The 21138-nt window shown below is 43.1% G+C and overlaps 1 protein-coding gene across 9 annotated transcripts in view, besides 3 other annotated features; it reads right to left on the bottom strand.

Moving 5' to 3' along the window:
* Positions 1 to 15495, bottom strand: part of EML6 (EMAP like 6) — a 248474-nt gene extending 232979 nt beyond the window's left edge. For 7 of the 9 annotated variants that reach the window (XR_001738743.2, XM_047444299.1, NM_001039753.4 and 4 more), the window contains exons 1-2: positions 15270 to 15385; positions 13789 to 14498 (exon numbers count right to left, since the gene is read on the bottom strand). Coding sequence is in view for 7 of the 9 variants with exons in the window: in XM_047444299.1 (XP_047300255.1) it covers positions 13789 to 13985 (197 nt within the window). In the remaining 2 variants the exon portion in view is untranslated. Of the gene's footprint in view, positions 1 to 13788; positions 14499 to 15269 lie in introns of all 9 variants that reach the window. The other 2 variants (XM_017004098.3, XM_047444315.1) reach the window with 2 other exon arrangements.
* Positions 14182 to 14331: a silencer, noted in NCBI's record as "silent region_11492". NCBI's record gives its function as "represses an Ori minimal core promoter by ATAC-STARR-seq in GM12878 lymphoblastoid cells {active_cell/tissue: GM12878}" and the evidence as "EXISTENCE:reporter gene assay evidence [ECO:0000049][PMID:35858748]".
* Positions 15003 to 15492: a silencer, noted in NCBI's record as "silent region_11491". NCBI's record gives its function as "represses an Ori minimal core promoter by ATAC-STARR-seq in GM12878 lymphoblastoid cells {active_cell/tissue: GM12878}" and the evidence as "EXISTENCE:reporter gene assay evidence [ECO:0000049][PMID:35858748]".
* Positions 15633 to 15852: an enhancer, noted in NCBI's record as "active region_15769". NCBI's record gives its function as "activates an Ori minimal core promoter by ATAC-STARR-seq in GM12878 lymphoblastoid cells {active_cell/tissue: GM12878}" and the evidence as "EXISTENCE:reporter gene assay evidence [ECO:0000049][PMID:35858748]".

Genomic DNA, 21138 nt, shown 5'->3' with positions numbered 1-21138 from the left:
GGTCTCAAACTCCTGGTCTCATGTGATCTGCCCACCTTGGCCTCCCAAAGTGCTGGGATTACAGGAGTGAGCCACCGCATCTGGCCAGATGCAACCACTTTGGAAAACCATTTGACAGTATCTAGCAAGTACCATATGTGCACCCCGTGACCTAACAATACCACTCCTAGGTGGAACTGCATATATGTTCACTTGTGCTAGAATGCTTGTACGAGTAGCCAAAGGAAACTGCAAACCATCCAAAGGCCCATAAACAGTAGAACAGATAAACTCCAGTATTTCCACACAACAAAAAATACAGAACTGAAAATAAGCATGTAGAAACACAAATGAATCTCATCAACATAGTATTGACTGAAAGGAGCTAGACATAAAAGAATGCAAACTGTACCATTCCTTTTAAAAGTACCTTAAGCAAAACTAAGCTATGCTCTTAAAAGTGAGGATGGAGGTCACCTTTGCAGTGGGGATTGTCACTGGAAAAGGGCATGAGGTGCTGTCTGTGGTATGGATGGTATTGATTTTTTGATGTGAGCAAGGTTACAGGTGTGTTGGGTTTGTGAGAATTGATCCAGCTGTACACTATGATATATGTACTTTTCTGTATCTGTATTACACTGCAATAAAAGTGTAAAACAGAACAAACAAGCCTATTATTCTGAGATGGTGTCTATAGGCTTCATAGCCTGTCAAAGGGGGTACAAAAAAGAAGTCCTATTCTAAGCAGAAATTCTAAGGGTATCATCCAAAAACAAATAAAAGTCATGCACAAGTCTTTCATTTGTTCATTCAACAAACACTTCTTAAGCACCTTCTACATGCCAGGCTCCATTATGAGAACTGTAGGCAGAGCAGTGAATGAAACAGCCCTGCCCAAATACAGCTTATATTTTAAAGAGCCAAGATGGATCAAAAGAAATACTAAGGAAAAAAAAACAAGGATGTGCAATAAGGAATGTGTTAGAGAAGAGTTTGAATTTTAAATAGAGTAATCAGTTAAGGTAACACTGATCAGGCACCTAAGGGAAGTGAGTAATGTCATGTGAATGTCTGAGGGGACAAGGATCCAGGCAGAAAGAGTGCAAAAGAGTACAAAGGCCCTGCGGCAGAAGAGCACCTGGGTATTCAAGCAGCAGCTAGAAGGCCAGTGTGGCTGGAGTGGATCAAGGAATGTAGGGAAAACAGACTGGATCGCAGAGGTAAAAGGGGCCAAATCCCCAAGTAGGGACTCAGAAGCCATAACAAGGACTCTGGCTTTTCCTCTGAGGGTTCAAGGCAGAGAATTGACACGACCTGTTCAACCGCACAACCTTATACAGCAAAGACTGCAATTACTTATTGTAACCAGATAACTCTGGCTGCTGTGTTTAGAATAGAAGGGAAAGGCAAGGATGGAAGCAGGGAAGAGGCAGTGGGTAAGAGGTCTTAGGAAAAGAGCATGGCATGAAGAGAAAAGGAGAGAAAAGATGCCTTGAAGAAGACAATGCATACACACATAAAACACATGCATTATTAAGGTCAGGAGTTCAAGACCAGCCTGGCCAAAATGATGAAACCCTGACTCTACTAAAAATACAAAAATTAGCCAGGCACGGTGGCGCATGCCTATAATCCCAGCTACTCAGAAGGCTGAGGCAGAAGAATCGCTTGAACCCGGGAGGCAGAGGTTGCAGTGAGCCGAGATCGCGCCACTGCACTCCAACCTGGGTAACAGAGTGAGACTCCATCTTAAAAAAACAAAAACAAAAAGAAAACATATGCATTATTATTGTTGTCGCTGCTGCTGTCATCGTTACTGAACCATTTGAGAGTAAACTGCAGCCATCATGATTCTTCACTCCTAAGTATTTCAGCACACATCTTCTAAGATAAGTACATTCTCTTATATACCTGCATTGCTACAATCAAATTCAGAATATTTAACAGTGACACAAAGCTGTTACCTCATATATAGTCCCACATTCAAATTTCACCAATTGTCCCAATACTGTTATATATAGCAACCCCTCTCCACCCAATCCAAAGTCACACATTGCATTTAGTTCTATAATTCTAGTCTCCTTTAACCTGGACATTCCCTCAATCTGTTTTAGTCTTTTACAAGAATAACATTTTTTGCCAAGTCCAGACCAGTTGTATTGTAGAATGTCCCTCAATTTGCATTGGTCTGTTTCCTCATTATTAGATTGACGCCATGCATTTTTGGCAAGAAAATGTCATCAGTGACACTGACCGGCCCCTGTATGTATCAGGTAGGCCTAGGGAGAGGAGGCAAAGGGCAGGGGAGGTAAGAGAAAACCAGGGGACCACAATGATGAGGAAAGAAAAGGATAGGCACTGAGGAGAAGGTGATCAGCTGACCCAGTGCTGTGAAGAGGTTAAGCACGATGTGGCTCCACCTAGCAATGGAGGTCACTGAAGTCGCTCCAGAGAACTCCAGTGGCTGGCGGAAGTAGAAACCAGTTCACTATGTTGAAAAGTGAATGAGAGATAAAGAAAACGGGGGCAGTAAATGGAGACAACTAAGAACCTCATGACTTTAACTTAGAAGAGATTTTGGAAGGATCTTAGGGATTTATAAATGAGGAAACCGAGGCCCAGAAAAGGTAACTGCCATGCCCAAAGTCACATGTCTGGTTAGAGACAGAGCCCATGCAGTGTTCAATCCCATGGGACCCCAATCCCCATGCACAATGCCACGCTCCCTCTTCTGAGAAGTCTGGCATTGAAGGAAAAGAGGAGAAAGGAATCAGAAGAAAAGGTTAATAAAAACAAAGTGAAATACTCCTGCAATGATCTTCCTAAAATGTAAATTGGCCTTCTCTTGCCTTGTTTAAATGAACTCACTGGTCTCCATAACTTGTGGAATGAGCGGTAAATCCCTTAGCTATCTAGCTCCAGCCCACTTATTCCAGCTTCATCTCCCACCGTACCCTCCTCACTCTCATCTGTCATTCTGGTAACATTGAGCTACTTATTCTTGCTTCAAGGGACCCTGCTATTTTAAGCCCCTGAGCCTCTGCATAAGCTGTTCCTGCCCTGTCTTTCCCTCCTTCCCCATTCTTTTTCCACCTCCCTGCCAAACCGCTCTTCAGCCTTCAAAAGTCACTTTCTCCAGGGGTCTTCCCTCGAAGCCCTACTTCTGTATGTTTGGGTAAAACTCTTCTAGGCCAGGAAAGACAAATTTAGTTAGAGCTGGCAGATGCTGCCTTACAATCTCTGCAGACATCTGGACTTCACTTCCCTCTTATAAACACTTCAACAGATTTTCAAAAGTTGCTTAAAAGACCACATTTCTTACATTGAAAGGGATGCAAATCATGATTTTTCTTATAATACAGTCAAAATACCTTAAGCACAAACATTCAAAAGGAATGTCTCATTCATTGTAAGGGCCATGGCCATATTCCAGTAGGAAACATTATGTCCTCAATGGCTGTATTTTCCATCTAGGCCAGTAGAGAAGTATAAGGAAGAAGTCAAATCAAATTTGGTGTCTAAGAACACAGCAATAATCAGTCATTATTGCCATTCAAATATTCTCTTAAAAAAGAAGATTCTGAATCCTGCCTCTCAATGCCAGCTGAGAATAATATTTTTGGGTTTTTATCTTCACGAAGTATGTATAAAATGAGTTCTATAGAAATCTCACCCCTATTCCACACCTTGCTCCTTCCAAATAATTTGAAATATAAAGAATAATATCCAAAGCACTTACTATGCCCATGACAAGGTGCTAGGCACAGGGACACACACATGAAATTCAAACCAGATGGAAACATGGGTAAGTCAACAAATGCAACACGATGCAATGACTCCAGAAGGGAGGAACGTGCATGGTAGCCCAGATGCATAGAGAAAGGAGGACAAGATAGTCTTGAGCTGTCAGATAAGGCTTCAGGGAGAGGTGGCACTTGCATTGATATTGAAGGAAGTGAAGGACTGCATAAGTGGAGAAAGGAGGGGTCATTTCAGGCAACCAAAATGATACACACAGGGATGAGGAAACACAAAATAGGATGCCAGATTCAGGGAACTGCAAGGTGTGTGATGTGGCTGGAGGATGTTAAGACAGGGAGGGACATCAGGCTGGAAGAGAAGCCAGGGAGAAGATCATAATAGACCGTGGAGAACATCTTGTGGGAGTTTGACTCTCATCATGCAGGCAATAAGGAGCCTTAAGCAAGTTTTAAATCTAGCCTTAGGAAAATTCATTTTCAAAATATGTTAGATAGCTACACTCACTAAATCATCCAACGGTTCACTCGTGAAACCTTTTCACTCGTTGCCATGGTTGATGTTCAGCAGGTATGCACCAGTATCTCTACCAGTTAAAATATGGAACTATTTCTTTACCAGTTGGTAAATAACAGCTGTCCCTCATCCCCACCTCCACTACCTTGGCCACTGTGCCAGCCCCAGGAAGCCTCCTGTGAGTACCATCAAGCCACCTCCCCAGTGCCTGCCAATATCAGCCTCATTTCCATCTGCGCCCCTCTAACCCATCACCCCTGACACCAGACCAGCAGGGGATAAAAAACCCTTAATAGTAGCACTGGCACCCCAGTGGGCAAACACTTAATGCCCAACTGGCCTTCCAAGGCTATGGCCACCAGCCATTGCCTAGCACTGTCTGGAGACATTTCGGCACAGTCTCTTATGAGAAGTGAAAACTCCATGATATATCATATCACCAATTTTTATTTTTTGAGATGGAGAATCACTCAGCCACCCAGGCTAGAGTGCAGTGGTGCGATCTCAGCTCACTGCAACCACTGTTTCCTGGGTTCAAACGATTCTCCCGTCTCAGCCTCTTGAGTAGCTGGGATTACAGGCACCCGCCATCATGCCCGGCTAATTTTTGTATTTTAGTAGAGATGGGGTTTCACCATGTTGGCCAGGCTGGTCTTGAACTCCTGACCTCAGGTGATCCACCCACCTTGGCCTCCCAAAGTGCTAGGGTTACAGAAGTGAGCCACCGTGCCTGGCCATATCACCAATATTTTTAATGTAAGCCCTTTTAGTATCCCTTTACTTACCTTTTCTTGTCCTCAACTCAGTATTTCTCATCACTGTCCTTTTCTGTGCATCAAGAAATCATTTGCCTCCTTCTCTTCTACTCCACCTTCTGTAGTAAAGTTGCCATTTATTCTCTCTCAGTCTATTCCCCCTTTATTAGGGGTGGGGAATCTTCTTTAAAGGGGCAGCCCTTTGAAACATTGTCCCACCCTCCAGGCTACAGCTGTTTGGACCTGGTAGACATTCTGACCCATGATAGAGCAATTCGATTCTCTTTCCTGGGAATTTGGAATTAAGACTCAAAAGATTGATTCAGTTGGTACTGTAGGACCAAGACGGATTGTACTCAGGGGACTGAGGTGGATTTTTGGGAGGGTGGCCATGTGCAAAATGAATCCTTGAGTTAAGCAGCCAGAGAAAATAAAAGCCTGTATTGTCCAGAGAGAAGCAGAGACGTGAATCCCTGTGATGCACAGGGACACTTCCAAGAGAAATAATTAGAGAAAGAATAGCTGCGTGATACTGTGCAGTGCCTAAGAGACCAGCCACACTCCCTGTAATTGAGTTCCAAAAGGTTTTCTTGTCACCTTGTAATCTTCTCAACTGTACTTCTTTGAAAAAGTTTCTTGCAACTGATGATCCCTTACTTAGAAGACATCTTGTCATTTGTGAGTCTTGTTTTATTCCTATCCATAAAATCAACTCGTAACACAGAAAAATGTTTTCCTGGCATTATTAAACAGCAGTTAAACTAAAAATGAAGGCTCATGCCTTAAAATAATTCTCCATAGCCTTAGAAAAATTCTCTGACCAGCCTATTAAGGTATTACCAGTCCAGAGAGAGCTCCTTTCATCCCCGGGAGGTAGGCTGGCCTGCTGCTCCCCTCCTTTGTGTTAATGGGAAAGGGAGTGGCAGGCAGCAAACCAGTGGACAATCCCAGAATCCTTCAAATTCTAGTTGAGGTCATCCAGATGCCTACCTCCCTTTAGGGGAAGAAAGGAATGAACTGATAAAAGAGTAGAGGTCAAAGAGCACCCTCTGTTACAACTCCCCCTGCTTTCCATACCACTCACCTCCTCAGCTGGCTCAACAGACCTGTGTCCAGCAGCAAGGCTGATGCTTATAAAATCATTTTTAAAAAGCAAAAACCTTTGGGAGTAAACAAATCCAATGTATAGACTGTTGTTGGTCACTAAACCAGCAGTTACTAAACACTGCACTCACTATTTAAGTTATAGTTTACTTTATAAATATATAAAAATCTATATGTCACTCATTAGCTCAAACAGCATCTTTACAAATACAGAATAGCAACCAAAGCCTATGGTTTCTATTTCTTCTAGGTTAACCTCTTTAATGATTATTTCCATTTCTGGATCCCCAAACATTCAGCATCTTCTACATGGGAGAAGTTAGTCCCCTACTGGCTGAATTCAAAGGCTGTGGGCATCTAAGATAATTTCATGGAGAAAAAGTAGTCTTTTCAACAAACGATGTTGGGACAACCAGATATCCACATGCAAGAGAATAAAGTTGGACCCCTACCTCACACCATATATAAAAATTAACTCAAAACAGATCATCTACCTAAATGTAAGAGCTAAAACTATAAAACTCTTAGAAGAAAACATAGGAGTAAATCTTGATGACCTTGGATTAGGTGATGGTTGCCTAGATATGACATCAAAAGCATAAAAAAGAAAAAATTAATAAATTGGACATCATCAAAATGAAAAACTTTTGTACTTCCAAGGGTACCACCAAGACAGTGAATAGGACAACTCACTGAATGGGAAAAAAGTCTGCAAATAATATATAAGGGACTCATACCCAGAATATGTAAAAAAACTCTTAGAACTCAACAATAAAAAGACAAACTGATTAAAAATGGGTAATAGATTTGAATAGACATTTATCCAAAGAAGATATACAAATGGCTAGTAAGTTTATGAAAAGATCATCAATATCATTAGTCATGAAGGAAATGAAAATTAAAACCACAATGAGATATCATTTCACACCCAGCAGCCTGGCAATAGTAAAAAAAAGACAGACAGTAGTAAATCTTGACGATGTGGAGGAATTGGATCTCTCATACATTGCTGGTGGGATGCTAAAATGGTGTGGCTGTTGTGGAAAACAATTTCACAGTGCTTCAAAAAGGTGTTCAGATCCACACCTTGAGGATAGGAGAGGCTGCAGGATAGTGTTGCCTAATTAGGGCTGCTGCCATGTGAACAGTTTTTCACCTATCACAGTGTCATCCAAATGACTGATTGATGGGGTTGGTGGGACTGATACAATTCTTTATAAGATAGTATAGTTCAGCGCAATGTTTTCAAGCAGTGACCCATTATGTGGCAACCACATTTTCCAAAACAAAACACAGTCATATATATATATATTTTTTTTGACAGGGTCTTGCCCTGTCACCCAGGCTGGAGTGCAATGGTGTGATCACAGCACATTGCAGTCTTGACCTTCCAGGCTCCCAAGTAGCTGAGACCATAGGCACACGCCACCATGCCTGGCTAAATTTTTTAATTTTTTGTAGCAATGGGGTCTCCCTATGCTGCCCAGGCTGGTCCTTAACTCCCAGGCTCAAACGATCCTCCCACCTCAGCCTCCCAAAGTGCTGGGATGACAGGAGTGAGCCTGGACTCATATTTCTGAATTAAAAATTAGATTCATGATGTCACAAGAACAAGTATCCACAACAATAACTGAATGGAATATTTGTGACTGTCCTGGGAAATCTAGGGCATATGGTACCAAAACCCATGAGGCATTAATGACCTGGATGAGAATTACAATGACCTTGGTCTTTCTCTGGCTATCTGTACCAGAATTTTAGGCACATTAAGTTTCTTCCCACCCTGGCACTTTTGCACATAACCTCTTCTCTGCCACTACATCTTCACCTGTCTTCCCCTTCACACCCTTCAGGTTTCTGCTTAAATGCCATCTCCCTAGAGAGCTGCTCTGGAAATCTTGCCTAAGGTGGCTTCCATACCCCCATTCAACCCAGTTTCTCTGTGATTATTTTTCTTCTTAGCACTTATCACAATCTATAGTCATCTTATTTTCTTGTCCATTCACTGTTGGCGTCCCCCATCAGAAAGTAAGCTTCGAGGCGGCAGAAACTTTGTCATGTTCACTGCTATACCCCCTGCATCTGGCACATTATAGATGTAAAATGAGTTTTTGATGAATTAACAAATATGAAAGAATAAATTACACCCAACTTAGAGAATAAACAAATCTTAATAAAAATCACAAGACTATAATTTATTAATAAGAAGAGCAATAATGCAATCATTTATGAAGATCATTATAAGCTTCCGTCAAAAGCTTTCACTTTGCGCTCTTTCCAATGCACAGAGTAAGTGGGATCCAATGAGCAGTAGGATGGTACCATTGAGTAACTCTGATTAAATCTCTTCCCCTCGCAGAGCCATTTCTCAGTGTAAAATGAGAAGACCTATTTCTCAGTGTTGAGGGTGGGAGAATTCAATAGGATGACATATACATGAAGTGTCTGGTACAGAGCAAGCACTCAACTTAATATGGATTTGATTCTTTGTAGTTACCTCCATATTTCTCTTATTCAAACTGGTCAAGGGACTAAAGAATATAAAGTCACATCTCTAGGCCTTCATGTGAACTTGCTTACCTGACACTCCAGGCCCAATCATGGCTGTTAGACCTGTCTCTTCAAATCCAACAAGTTCAATTGTATTTGCAGCACTAGATTATTTGAGCCATGTCACAATTTTGACTAAAATAATTTTTTTTAATTAAAATCTCTAATAGATCATTGTTTCAGGTCATTGTTCCAAAGCTGTGGATATTTCTCTTTTTTAAATTTTTTCTTTTCTTTTTTTTTTCTTGAGACAGGGCCTCACTCTTGTCGCCCAGGCTGGAGTGCAACAGCACAAACTGGGCTTACTGCAACCTCTGCCTCCTGGGCCAAAGAGATTCTCTGGCCCTAGGTCCCGGAATATCAGGGACCACAGGCACCTGCCACCATGCCCAGCCAGCCCTTGTATTTTCTGTAGAGATGGGGTTTTGCCATGCCACCCAGGCTAGTCCTGAACCCCCAAGCTCAAGTGATCTGCCCACCTCAGCCTCCCAAATTGCTGGGATTAGCCTGGCCGAGCTGGGGATGTTTCTAAAGCAAACTTAAACATGGTCCCATTTCCAGGCAGAATTCTAATGATCTACTTCAAATATTCTTGAATAAATCAAACGGTTTATAGACCAACAGAGGATAAGCAAGTTACAAAGAGCAACAATCTACTACCTTCTGGTTAGGAAGAAGGCACAGTTGTAGGGACCACAATATAAGAGGCCATAAAGCAGTGAAGCCAAAGCTTGCAGCTTTGGAATCAGACCAATCTGGGTTCCAATTCCCATTCCACAGTCTGCCAGACAGTGACAACAGGCAAGATCCTCAACCTCTCTGTGCCTCAGCTGCCTCCCCTGTAGCCTGGGGTTAGCAACAGTGCCTATCTCACTGGACTGTGAGAGGGTGGATCAGATCAATCGATATACACATTTAGTTCTGAGTTTGGCACTCAGGAAATGTTAGCTCTGGTTATAAAATTCACTCTCAGCCTCAAGAGTCTTATATACGCTTACAAATGAAAACAGAATGAAACGATAGCCCTAAATGATACATATTAAGTGAGCAGCATCGGTCACAAAACACACAAAGTTTTGGAAGTGCAAGGTGCCCCTTCATCTGAGGATGGTACAAGGTCTCATGGGAGAGGTGAGACTGCAGCAGATAGGGCTTTGCAGGATGCAGATGCAAACAGGACCCTGGTGCTGCACACTTACCACTGGCCAAACATTTTTGTATGTAATCCCCACAACAAACTACAAAGGAGATACTTTAAAACTCCATTTTATAAGTGAAAAGTTGTTTCACTGATGAGATAGTTAAGATTCGAAGAGGTTTATTAAAGTCGCCAGCTGGTGGCAGTCCTAGGTTCAAACTCAAGTATGACTGACAGCAAAGTCCAAGCTCCCACTGCTATGCCATTGGAGGGGTGCGGCTGGACAGACAGAGAAGGGCCAGCGGGGAAGATGAATCATTCCACTGTGAGGCAGGGAAGAACAGAGTCATCATATGGCAAGTGGGAAGCAAAGAATTTATGATTTTTTAAAAAAGGAAAATAAGGATAGGATGGTAGGTTAGGAGAGAGAACAGAAAGCTTAGGAATCTGGACTTCTGCCTGTGAGCAATGATGAATCATTGTTTTGTTCTGGGGGTGTGTGTGTGTTTAGTGAAATACTACTTCTACCACAACTAAGAATATTTATTGAGCACCAACTAAGGGCCAGGCCCCACACTAAACCCTTTGCATACATTTTTTTCTAATAGTTACAACTCTGCAGTTTAGGTATTGTCATTCCCATTTCACAAATAAACAAGGCCCTGAAAAGTGATGCCACTCACCCAGATACCCCCGGTAAATGGCAGAGTGGGATTTATACCCAAGTGTGCATGATAACGAAGTCAGTGCCCTTTCCCCTAAAGCAGCATTGTACATAAACCTCCTTTGCAAATGGGAGCCGGAAAACGAGGCAGAAGAACCTGGAGACAGGGAACTAGCCAGAAGCAATACATATAGTGGTCCAGAGTGAGGAGATAAATGTCTCAACTGGAATCACTGTGAAAATGGAAGGGAAGTAACAGAGGATGAATGTGTTCACAGGCTTTTCTTTCATTTACTCCCATTCTCTGTGTCATGTTCTACTACCTAAAGTAGAAACCAAGTTAGTAATTATCCCAGTCTCTATTACTGTCCTTGGTATCAAGCCCTGATTTGCATCTTGTTGTTAGCCCAATAGCAAATATTACTTTAAGTATTCACTTGTTCTATCACAATGTTATCAGGTCTAAAATATGGCATCATCTTCTAATCTGTTATCTGAATTAAAAAGTAATATTCAAGAGAATAAAACTAAGCCTCCACATTCAGTAAATTATATTATGCCTCACATAGCAACATCTTTAAAAATCTGACTTAGACATATAGCCTGTCAAAGCAGAAGGACACATATGCTGAGCCCTAATGAGCTCTGCCAAAACCTACATTATTATTAGGGTTCATTATGATCTTGGAGATCACATGGTTTTATAAAATGGAGTGTGTTATCAATACTTGTTGGGCTGCTTTCTAGTTAATATTCTTGGCAAAACAGCACAAAAAATAAAGCAGTATAGATGTATGCATATGAATATATCTTTCAAACTAATGCAAAAGCTATGTACCAAGTGGACAATTACTTATGCTATCTCACCTGATGGAAACAAGAATTAGAAACGAACAAGTTTTGATATTCATGTAATGATTCAATAAAAAACCAAAACACTTTTGCATTAGAACCTTAGCTATAGTCCTCTCCATTTAATAACAAACTTCAATATTTCAGGTGGAAGAATAGTAGTAACCGGGATACACAGAAACGAATTAAAATTCATAAGGACAAAAAATTGTGCATTGTGGTTTGTGCAGTGTCTTCACCAGAAAAAGATATTTACATATGTAAGACAAAGCAAAAGAACAGCATAAACATTCCAATTTCATAGCTCTTAATTCCATAATAATCTGTGGTTTGTGTTTCTTAATTCATTGAACTTAATTTTATTCTTGTGTACAAAGACATATTTGGATGTTAAGGAACTCTGCTCTGCTCTGCTCACCTATACATACTCTGACCCAACCAAATATTGTGGAGAATTATGAATACAGTCCTTCCTCTGAAATCAGGCTTACTACTATGTCACTAAAGTAGCTTAATGAATAGATCAGATGCTAACTGTCTCTTTTTCCCTTCATCAGTTAAGGCTCCCTGCAAACCCAGTTATACACATCACTTCATTCACCTTTTCTTCAAATCTGAATGTTTCCTTAACCACCCAAGCTAGATTTCATCACATCCCACTAGCCCGGCTGCTTGTCATAACAACGGTTTACTGCAACTCCACCCTTTTCCCACCTTCAGCTTCAACAGTGCATTTGGTTTTTTTCCTTGTATCAGAGAAAAAATTAGGATTAGGAGTTCAAATCCACAAAGTAGTTCAGTGAACTGTCACATTAATATTATTTAACCACAGAGAATTTTCTGTTTAATTGCCACTCTCTCCCTTCACCCAAAGGACTACATCTTATTTTGATGCTGTAATGGAAAGCACTGCATTAAGACAGAGAGAGCAAAAACATAATGGGTTTAAATTTTTAAACATCTAACCTTTTCATGAGTCATTGTTAATCATTTGCACCTGTAACTTTCATAATCAGCCTAGCAATTAGAGAAGCAAAATCTGCAGAACAAAACTATGTAAGGATGCCCCAAGCACAACAACTACCATGTTAGGGAGGGAAGAAAAAAAGCTATTTGTGTCATACGTGACATGAAAAAAGTTTTACATGCTAGTTCCACTAAATCTTGAGAACATTAGCACTCCCATCTTCAAAAAAAGTCAAGATTTTTTAAAATCTGTAGTTTGAATATTAAGTGCTTGCCTTCTGTAACAATTTTTCAACTTTAGGTCTCAGAAAAAAAAAAGGCTCTGGAATATAAGCACATCATTAGGAAGGGAAAAAAAAGCTGATCTTTGAAATCATTCTCTGCACTGAGAAATTAGGAGCATGGACATGACATCACTTCATTTATTTCATTGTGAAAGACAAACTTAGAGCAAAAGTGGCAATATTCTGAGAATGTAATGGTAGTTGTTCTACATCAATGAAACACACAAGTTTGGAAGGTATAAATATGGTCTCTGTCAGTTGTAGTCCATCCTCAGCAAGTCATTTTCCCTGTGGGCTGAGGCTCCCATATGACGAAAATCTTCCTTAACTGCTGAAGGCTGAAAAGGATTCCCTGTGAACAGCATCTGGCCCATACCTTGTTTGCTCACATAAAAGCTGACAAGGGCTGGAGGAAAATGTGTCTGGTCCAAAGATGAGAGGATAGGGCCAAGAATCACAATATAACCCCTTTCCATTTAATCGGGAGGGCCCCTAAAACGGCCATTCATCCAAATGAGCTCTCCTGTCAGTCAGTCTTGGGCCATCCGCTAGCAGATGTTGGTCATTGTGTGGGCTGGCTGGTAGGATTTTGTGATCCAGCAGCTGCCAGCCTTTAATAACCTCAATGATGCTGTGGAAGCATCCATTTAGTGTATAAATATGCTTTGGGCATTAAAACACTGCCAAGTGAAATATTAGAGAACAAACTCCCCACCCACTGCAGAAATTTCCCAGGTCCAAAGCATCTGAGATGAAGATTCCAAATTACCAGTAGTAAAATTTCTTTTAGATCTTTTTTAATCCTCTTGCTTACTGAGAAACCCACTGAGGAGCCTCCCAAAGATGATGCCCACACTTCAGGTTATTGGTCCTACCGTGCACCTGGTTAGGGAAGGAAGAAGTGTTTCATAGTTACCCAGGCTCCTTCCACTTGTAGCAGGAAAGAACAGCAAGAAAGCATCAGAACACTCAACTCCTTGGAGATTTAAAAGCCAGAATTCCGGAGGGATACAGCGAAAAGACATCTCTCCCTCCTCACCTACACTCCCCACACTGTTTCTGCCCTGGCCCTAGAATCAGCAGCCCTTCAGTAATTCCATGCGGCTCCAGAGAGAATCCTCTATTCCACGGGGCTCCCGGATCCGACCCCAGGTCAACCGCTTCCCACCTTCCCAGCCTCCACACGCAACCCCTCCCCGCCGCCCCTGGCCACCCCCTTACCTGATAATGTCGTCGTTGTGTCCCAGGAAGAATTTTTGGCTGTGCTCGCGGGTGTTGTAAACCACCCCGACCCCAGCCACAAAGTAGACCACCTCCTTGCCTGCCGTGTAGTACAGGTTGTTGCGGCACTGGTGACCCCGGTACCCGTACACCCACTCCAGCCGGAGCTGGCAGCGGGGCGCCGTCCGATCCGCCATGATAAGCCGACCCCGCGCGCCCCCCGCCCCCCCGCGCGCCGGGGCCGTCCTCGCCGAGGCTGGGGCTGCGGCGGACCTGCAGGGGCTCAGCGCGCGGCGCAGGGCGCTGATTTCCGCGGCGACACACAGGCACAGCCCAGCGGGCCGGCCGCCACCATCATCCGCTGCAGCCGCCGCAGACAAGCCGCCGCCGCCGGTGTGCGGCCGCCAGACCCCGCCGGGCGCCGGGCTCCCTCTACCCGGGCAAGGCGGCTCTGGGGGCGCCGGCACCGGCGCGCGCGCCTCACTGCACCTGCGGGCTCCGGCCCCCGGGAGAGGCTCTCGGGGGGGCCACCCCGCCTTTTACATCAGGAATCTGCATATCCCAACAGCGATCACCCAGTTCGCTCACTGAAGTTTGCGGTGCGCCGGGGCTTCGCGGCAGGCGGCGGGATTTATTCTGCGATAGCCTTGATTTGACAGGCAACCCGGGTGAGCTCTGCCATCGCCGTCTTTGGATCCGAAATTGACAGTCTATATCCAGGAAGCGAGAGCGAGGAAGAAAGAAACAGATTTTTCGCATAAGTCACCCAATCCAAGAAAATTATCCCCAAACTAAACCAAGTTGGGTATTTTTAAAAATTGTCCCCTACTCCCGCTTTCTCTCTCCAGTTCCATCTCCTTAATGATATGAAATATGCGTAAATGCTGCTGCCTGGCAGTTGCTGATGCGATTTGAAGGAACGCTTGCTGTTTCCCTAATAAGCGAGGGCGAATATGCAATGGTCATTTTTTAGATGCTCCAATTAGTTTTCATGTGTGTGTTTAATAATCATATCCTCCGTGAACCTTCTCTTCACCGAGAAAGCCATAAAGAACTTAGCAGCTCTCATTGATCAGCAACTCCAATCCGCATCATGAAAGATTGTCTTACTCGGAAGAAACGAGGCACTAGTGCAGTCGGAGGGAGTGCGCTACCTACAAACGCTCCTGGTCGAGGAGAAATCAAATAACAAGTGGCAAAAATCGTGTACTTCTCCCCAGAAACCTCTGCGCTAAACACCGGGTCCCACGGAATCCCGGGTCCTGCCCTGAGCCCAGCGTGGAGAGGGGTCGCCCGAGGGACCCGGGGGACAGCAACCCCCCACAGACGCACACGTCCCGGGGGTCGGCGCGCTGCGCGAGGGATGCCCGCCCTCAGGACTGTTCGGCCCGCGCGCACTGCCGCCCTGGCGGCGCCCTGCACTCCTCCCACTCTCGAACCAGCCTCGCCCGCGGAGCATCCGCGCGCTCTCTGCCTCTAACCTCTGCTGCCAGCGGACGCCACCGGCGCGTCCCGGATCCCGCGCGGGCGAGCGAGCGAAATCCTCTGCCTGCCCTCCCCTCCCCGCCTCCCGCACCCGGGGATGGACTTCGTCACTGGGGCGCCGCGGGAGACAGGTTCTTCCTCCAGCCGGGGCTCCGGGGGCGGGGCCACAACGCCGCGCTAGTGAACCTCAGCTGCCGGTTACTAGGCGAGATCTCGCCGCTTGGAAACAGCGACGCCCCGGAGGACTGGGGCCGCCCCCTCCCTCTGCCTGTCCCTGTGGCCTCTTCCCCCGACGCATCCTGGGAAGTGTAGTCCTCTCTGCGCCGGTTAGGGCGGACAGCGCGCGGAAGGGACCACAAGTCCCAGGATTCCGCGCGCCCAGAGGGAGTCGCAGCGAGACCTGTACCGGCGTCAGCGGAGCCTGCGGCTCTCGGGGTGAGGAGATCCCGGCTCACCAAGGACGATTGCCTGCCCACGCGGGCGTTCCCTTGTGACTGAGGCGGGAGCTGGCGTGCGTGGGTCTCTGTAGAGAAAAGCGGTGGAGTTGGAATGGAGACGGTCTCCCAGCCCACCACTGGAATTTCTCCTTCATCGGTCTCTGAGTGTTGCTGTAACCGACATCCTCACCATGCTGTAACTGACTCAAGCTTAAGTTTGTTTCCTACTTAAGTTTTCCTTTTCATTCACATGGATTTTAATTTGTTAAAGTGCAGTTCTGCCAAGTTTAAGAAAAATGCTGGGAATGTGAGCTCACTTCTGCCCTAAGAACCAGCGTCTTCCCATGACCTGCGTCCTAAATTAGAGGACTTGGGTATTTACAGATAACCGGAGGTTGGAAGCAGGAAGGTGCTCACGCCATGAACAGCTAACCTTGGCCTTCAAACGCAGAAGCTGGTGGCATTTCTCCTAAAACTGCCCGAGATGAACTATGAATCCACTGTGTTCTCAAGTAGCCTATTTCCAATTTAGGGCCATAGCTAGTCTTTGGAAAGAGATTTCAAAATCCCAGTGACTAAGAGGCTGCAAAAGGATGATGGATTGGACGTTTGGAACGTCCTTTCCCTCCCATGCTTTCAGTGTAATCGCTTACTCAGTTCATCTCCCTCAAGTTTTAAGACAACCCTCCGACCTGGTAGGAAAGCTCGAAAGAACTGGAAGTGCCAGAGTTTGGATGATTTGTTGCTGCCCGCAGTAATGAGGATTTGAATTGGTCTCATCTTTGTTTTTAAGGAAACAGAATCAACAAATAAGTGAGATGGCACTGTGCTAGGCAACAAGAACACTGCCAAAAACAAAAACACGGCCTGAGAAAGGTTTGAGATAGAAGCAAAAATATAGTTGATCAATGATGTCGTGCCATAAAACAGTGCCAAATGAATTATATAAAGACAGTAAGTTTTTGTTGTTCTTTTTGTTTTGTTTTGTTTTGAGACAAAACAGGCCGTTGCCCAGGCTAGAATATCGTGATCTTGGCTCACTGCAACCTCCGCCTCCTGGGTTCAAACGATTATCCTGCCTCAGCCTCCTGTGTAGCTGGGATTACAGATACGCACCACCACGCCCAGCTAATTTTTGTATTTTTAGTAGAGACAGGGTTTCGCCCTGTTGGCCAGGCTGGTCTCCAACTCCCGACCTCAGGTGTTCTGCCCGCCTCGGCTTCCCAAATTGCTGGGATTACAGGCATGAGCCACTGTGCCTGGCCAGTAAGTTCTATATAAGAATTCAGAAGAGGAAGAGTTTTTCCAGATAAAATACATCAGGAAAAGTTTCATGGAGGAACTAGGAAATATAGATAGAATTGAGATAAGTAAAGATAAATTGAAAGAGCGTTCTACATGCGTTTAGGGAATAAACAAAAGTGTAGATGCAGAAAAGTGGATTTAGAGAACACTAAAGAGAATACCCAGTTTGGTGCAAGGGAGAATTCATATAAGATCAAGAGGACACATGAAAGGTTAGATTGTAGATGGAGCTCAGCATAGGGGTTTGCGCTGTATCCTTAAAATAATGGAGTCATTGATTTTTTGAATAAAAATAAGGGAATAGCAATGAAAGCAGTAATCAAAGCATGAGGTATTAGAAGTCTGGGGTAGTGCTTGAGGCTGCGTTAGAGATAGTGGCAGTGGTCTAGAAAGGAAGAGACACTTTCCAGAGAAAATGTACAAATGTATTGAAAAGAAGTCTCTTAAATAGAAATGGATGGAACATATTCATTTCCTAAATTATCTTTAGTATAACTAATGACCCCCATGCTGTACCAGACTGTTAAATGAGTTGGAGGAGTAAGTCTGAGTCAGCCACTTACAATTGTAACCTTAGGCAAATCACTAAATCCTCTGATCTTTACTCTCCTCATTTAATAAAGTATAGCAGTACTCACCCCACAGGATAATTGTAAGAATGAAACAAAGTAATACATACGTGAAAAGTTAATTTGTAAAGCATTAGATAAATGTTAATTATTACTATATGGCAGTAGATAGTAACCTCTACTTGAAAGTGTCAAATAAGACTGGTAGTGTCCTTTGGAAATAAGCAGTATTAAAAAGCATGAGTAAAACTCATAATATAATAACATTATGTTGTTGTAATGAATAGCAGTTACTATGTTCCAGGCACTATAAATGGTGCTTTACGTGTATCAGATAATTTGATCTTCACCCCAGTAATAATCCTATGAAGTAGTTACTGTTATTTCCTCATTTTACAGATGAAGAAATGAAGGTAAGGAAAGTTTAAGTAACTTGCCCAGGAATGCACAAAATAGTGACAAAGCCTGGATTTGAACTCAGGCAGTCTGACTCCAGACGCTGCTCTTAAATGCTAAGAATGATGAAAGAAATTGTTTAGATGGTAGAGTAAGTTCACCTGTAAATGAAACCCAAAATAGCCATGATTTAAACTTGATAGAATTTTATTTCTCACAAAAACCTGGAGGTAGTACAGGCCTAGAATGATGGCTCTGCTTAAAGGAATCCTTGAGTACTCAGGCTACTGGCAGCATGCCAGCATTCTGCTCTGCTGTCCCTAGACCTCATGGTCCAAGATGTAGTACTAGCCATCAAACGTACATTTCAAGTACATTTCAAAGAAGAGAAGGGTCATGGGGCACATCCTGGCTGCCTTTAAAAGGAAGATGCTCAAAAGCTACCCTAGGCCAGGCACAGTGCCTCACACCTGTAATCCCAACACTTTGGGAGGCCAAGGCGGGAGGACTGCTTGAGCCCAGGAGTACTAGACCAGGCTGGGCTTTGGTGACACTCCTTCTCTACAAAAACTACAAAAATAGCTGGGTGTAGTGGCACAGGCCTGTAGTCCCAGCTACTCAGGAGGCTGAGGTGGAAGGAATTGCTTAAGCCCAGGAGATTGAGGCTGCAGTGAGCTGTTACCACGCCATTAGACTATAGCCTGGGCAACAGAGTGAGATCTCAAAATAAAAAAGAAAAAGCTACCCCAAGTCTTTTCTGTTTATATGCTATTGGTCTGAACTTAGTTATGTAGGCATACCTAGCTGCAAGGAGATTTAGGAACTAGTTTTTATTCTGGGCAACCATGTACCTAACTAAAAATAGAGGATTCTTAAACTGTGGGAAAAAAATAAATGGCACTTTACATCCCTTATCTCTCTAAATCCTTACAACAACCCTATGAGTAGATAACTTCATTTTAATGTGAGGAAACTGAGACCCAGAAAATAAGTAATTTAACCAAGATTATTCAATAAGTGGCAGAACCAGAATCAAATTTAGGTCTGTCCAACTACAGAACCAGTGTTATTAACCACTACTCCCATACCTCCCAACCCAAGACATAGATCCATTTATTATTAAACGATGAGAAAGTAATACTTGAGTAAAGCAAAGTCTCAGAATTTACTTCCTGAAGTTTCCTAAATAATAAGAGGGAAAAAGATTCAACAAACAGTAGTAAGGACAGAAGATAAGTTGAAAAACTCATGAAAATTCTCACAAAAAATGCTCCAATTTGGAAAAGTAAAATGTAAGTATACATTTTTAGAGGCTGAGGTGAAGAAGGGGCATACGTTAGAGAAGATCCTACATATTACTTTAGGTCTTCAGCAAAAATAGTTTCACCAGGACCTGCCATCATCAGGGAGATGGTTGAATGATGGTTGTACTATGCAGAGTCAAAGGAATAATCCAACATTCATAGGTGTGAGATATATCTTTGGCTGCATGGGATACGTCCTGGAACTGGTCATTTCATAGTACCTTAAGCAAGAGCAAAACCTTGTCTCTTAGTGGAGGCTGTACTTAGTCCCAGTAGATTTCACCCATTTTCCTGCTCTACTCTTTTCCAATATTAGGCTACAGAAAAGTGGGGAGGGGGGGAAACAGTAGTCAGCCACCATATTTTAGCTCTGAGAAGATCAGTTCATTCCTAGATAAAGTGGGAAGGATGTAAACAATAACTTATATAAAATATATCAGAATAGATACATGATCTAGAAATAGCTGCCCCTATCCAAACTGAGCAAGATGAAAAGAAAGGGCGTAGCAAACACAAACTAAAATCCTGAAAGAAAGGTATATAACATGCAAAAGATAGATGAAGAACCCCATCTGGAAGACAGTTTACATTCTCTGCTAGAGAAGAACTTAGTTACAACATGAATTTAAGATATCAGTGACATGGTTTGGCTGTGACCCCACCCAAATCTCATCTTGAATTGTAACTCCCACAATTCTGATGTGTTGTGGGAGAAACCTGGTGGGAGGTGGTTGAATGATGGGGGTAGGTCTTTCCTGCACTGTTCTCGTGATAGTGAATGAGTCTCACGAGATCTGATGGTTTTAAAAACAGAAGTTCCCTGCACAAGCTCTCTTTGCCTGCCACCATCCATGTAAGATGTGACTTGCTCCTCCTTGCCTCGTCTCAGAAAAAGAAAAGAAAATCATAAGGAGGAAAAGATATATTTACTATTCATTAAGTGGAAGTGGATCATTATAAAGGTCTTCATCCTCAACGTCTTCACGTTGAGTAGGCTGAGGAGGAGGTGGAAGAGGAGTTGATGTTGCTAACTCAGGAGTGGCAGAGGCAGAATGAAACTCCTCATATAAAGTGGACCCACACAGTTCAAACTTGTGTTGTTCAAGGATCGACTGTATACTGAAATAATCCGATGAAAGGGTGTTCCTATAAGCTAAAAAAAAAATCATCCCACAGATTATTTACCTTTAAATGAAGAGATCTGGAGGACACTATCTCAGCTTTTCAAACTTAGTGTCGTTAGTGGCAGAACAACTTGCTCCTCCTGCCTCCTGATGTGATGAGTATAAAATGCTGCATAAAACATTTTTACCAAATAATATCTAACCCAAGTCTAATTAAGCCTTGAGACCTAACTTTCAGTTTATAGAAAAAATGGCATAGATGAATGAGTTAATTGAAATCACAAGAAAACAATCAGGTAAAGCCAGAAGGTAGGACAGTATATAACACAAATGACCTAGCCTCATCAAAAGGTAAATGTAATAACAACAACTAAAAAACTAAAAAGCAAGGGATTATTCTTGCTTTAGTAAAAGAGACTAAAGAGATGTAACAACGAAAAACACTGTGTGAATCCTGATCGGATCCTGCTGGTTTTGTTTTGTTTTTCCCCCACATTTTAAATAGAATGTGGGGAAAAACAGTGGTTAGGGAAGTTTGAATGCAGAATGCATACTAGAGGATATTAAGGAATTGCTGTTTTTATTTTTAGGAAAATCTTATGAAACACATCCTGAAGTATTTAGTAGTAAAATATTGTTTGCAGCTTATTTCTAGCTAATTCAGGAAGAAATGTGGATGGAAATAGAGAAATATATACATACACATGCAGACATACACATACATGAGACA

This window comes from Homo sapiens, chromosome 2 (assembly GCF_000001405.40).
Source record: "Homo sapiens chromosome 2, GRCh38.p14 Primary Assembly".
NCBI classification, from domain to species: domain Eukaryota; kingdom Metazoa; phylum Chordata; class Mammalia; order Primates; family Hominidae; genus Homo; species Homo sapiens.
This window is presented reverse-complemented; position numbering and strand designations above follow the sequence as displayed.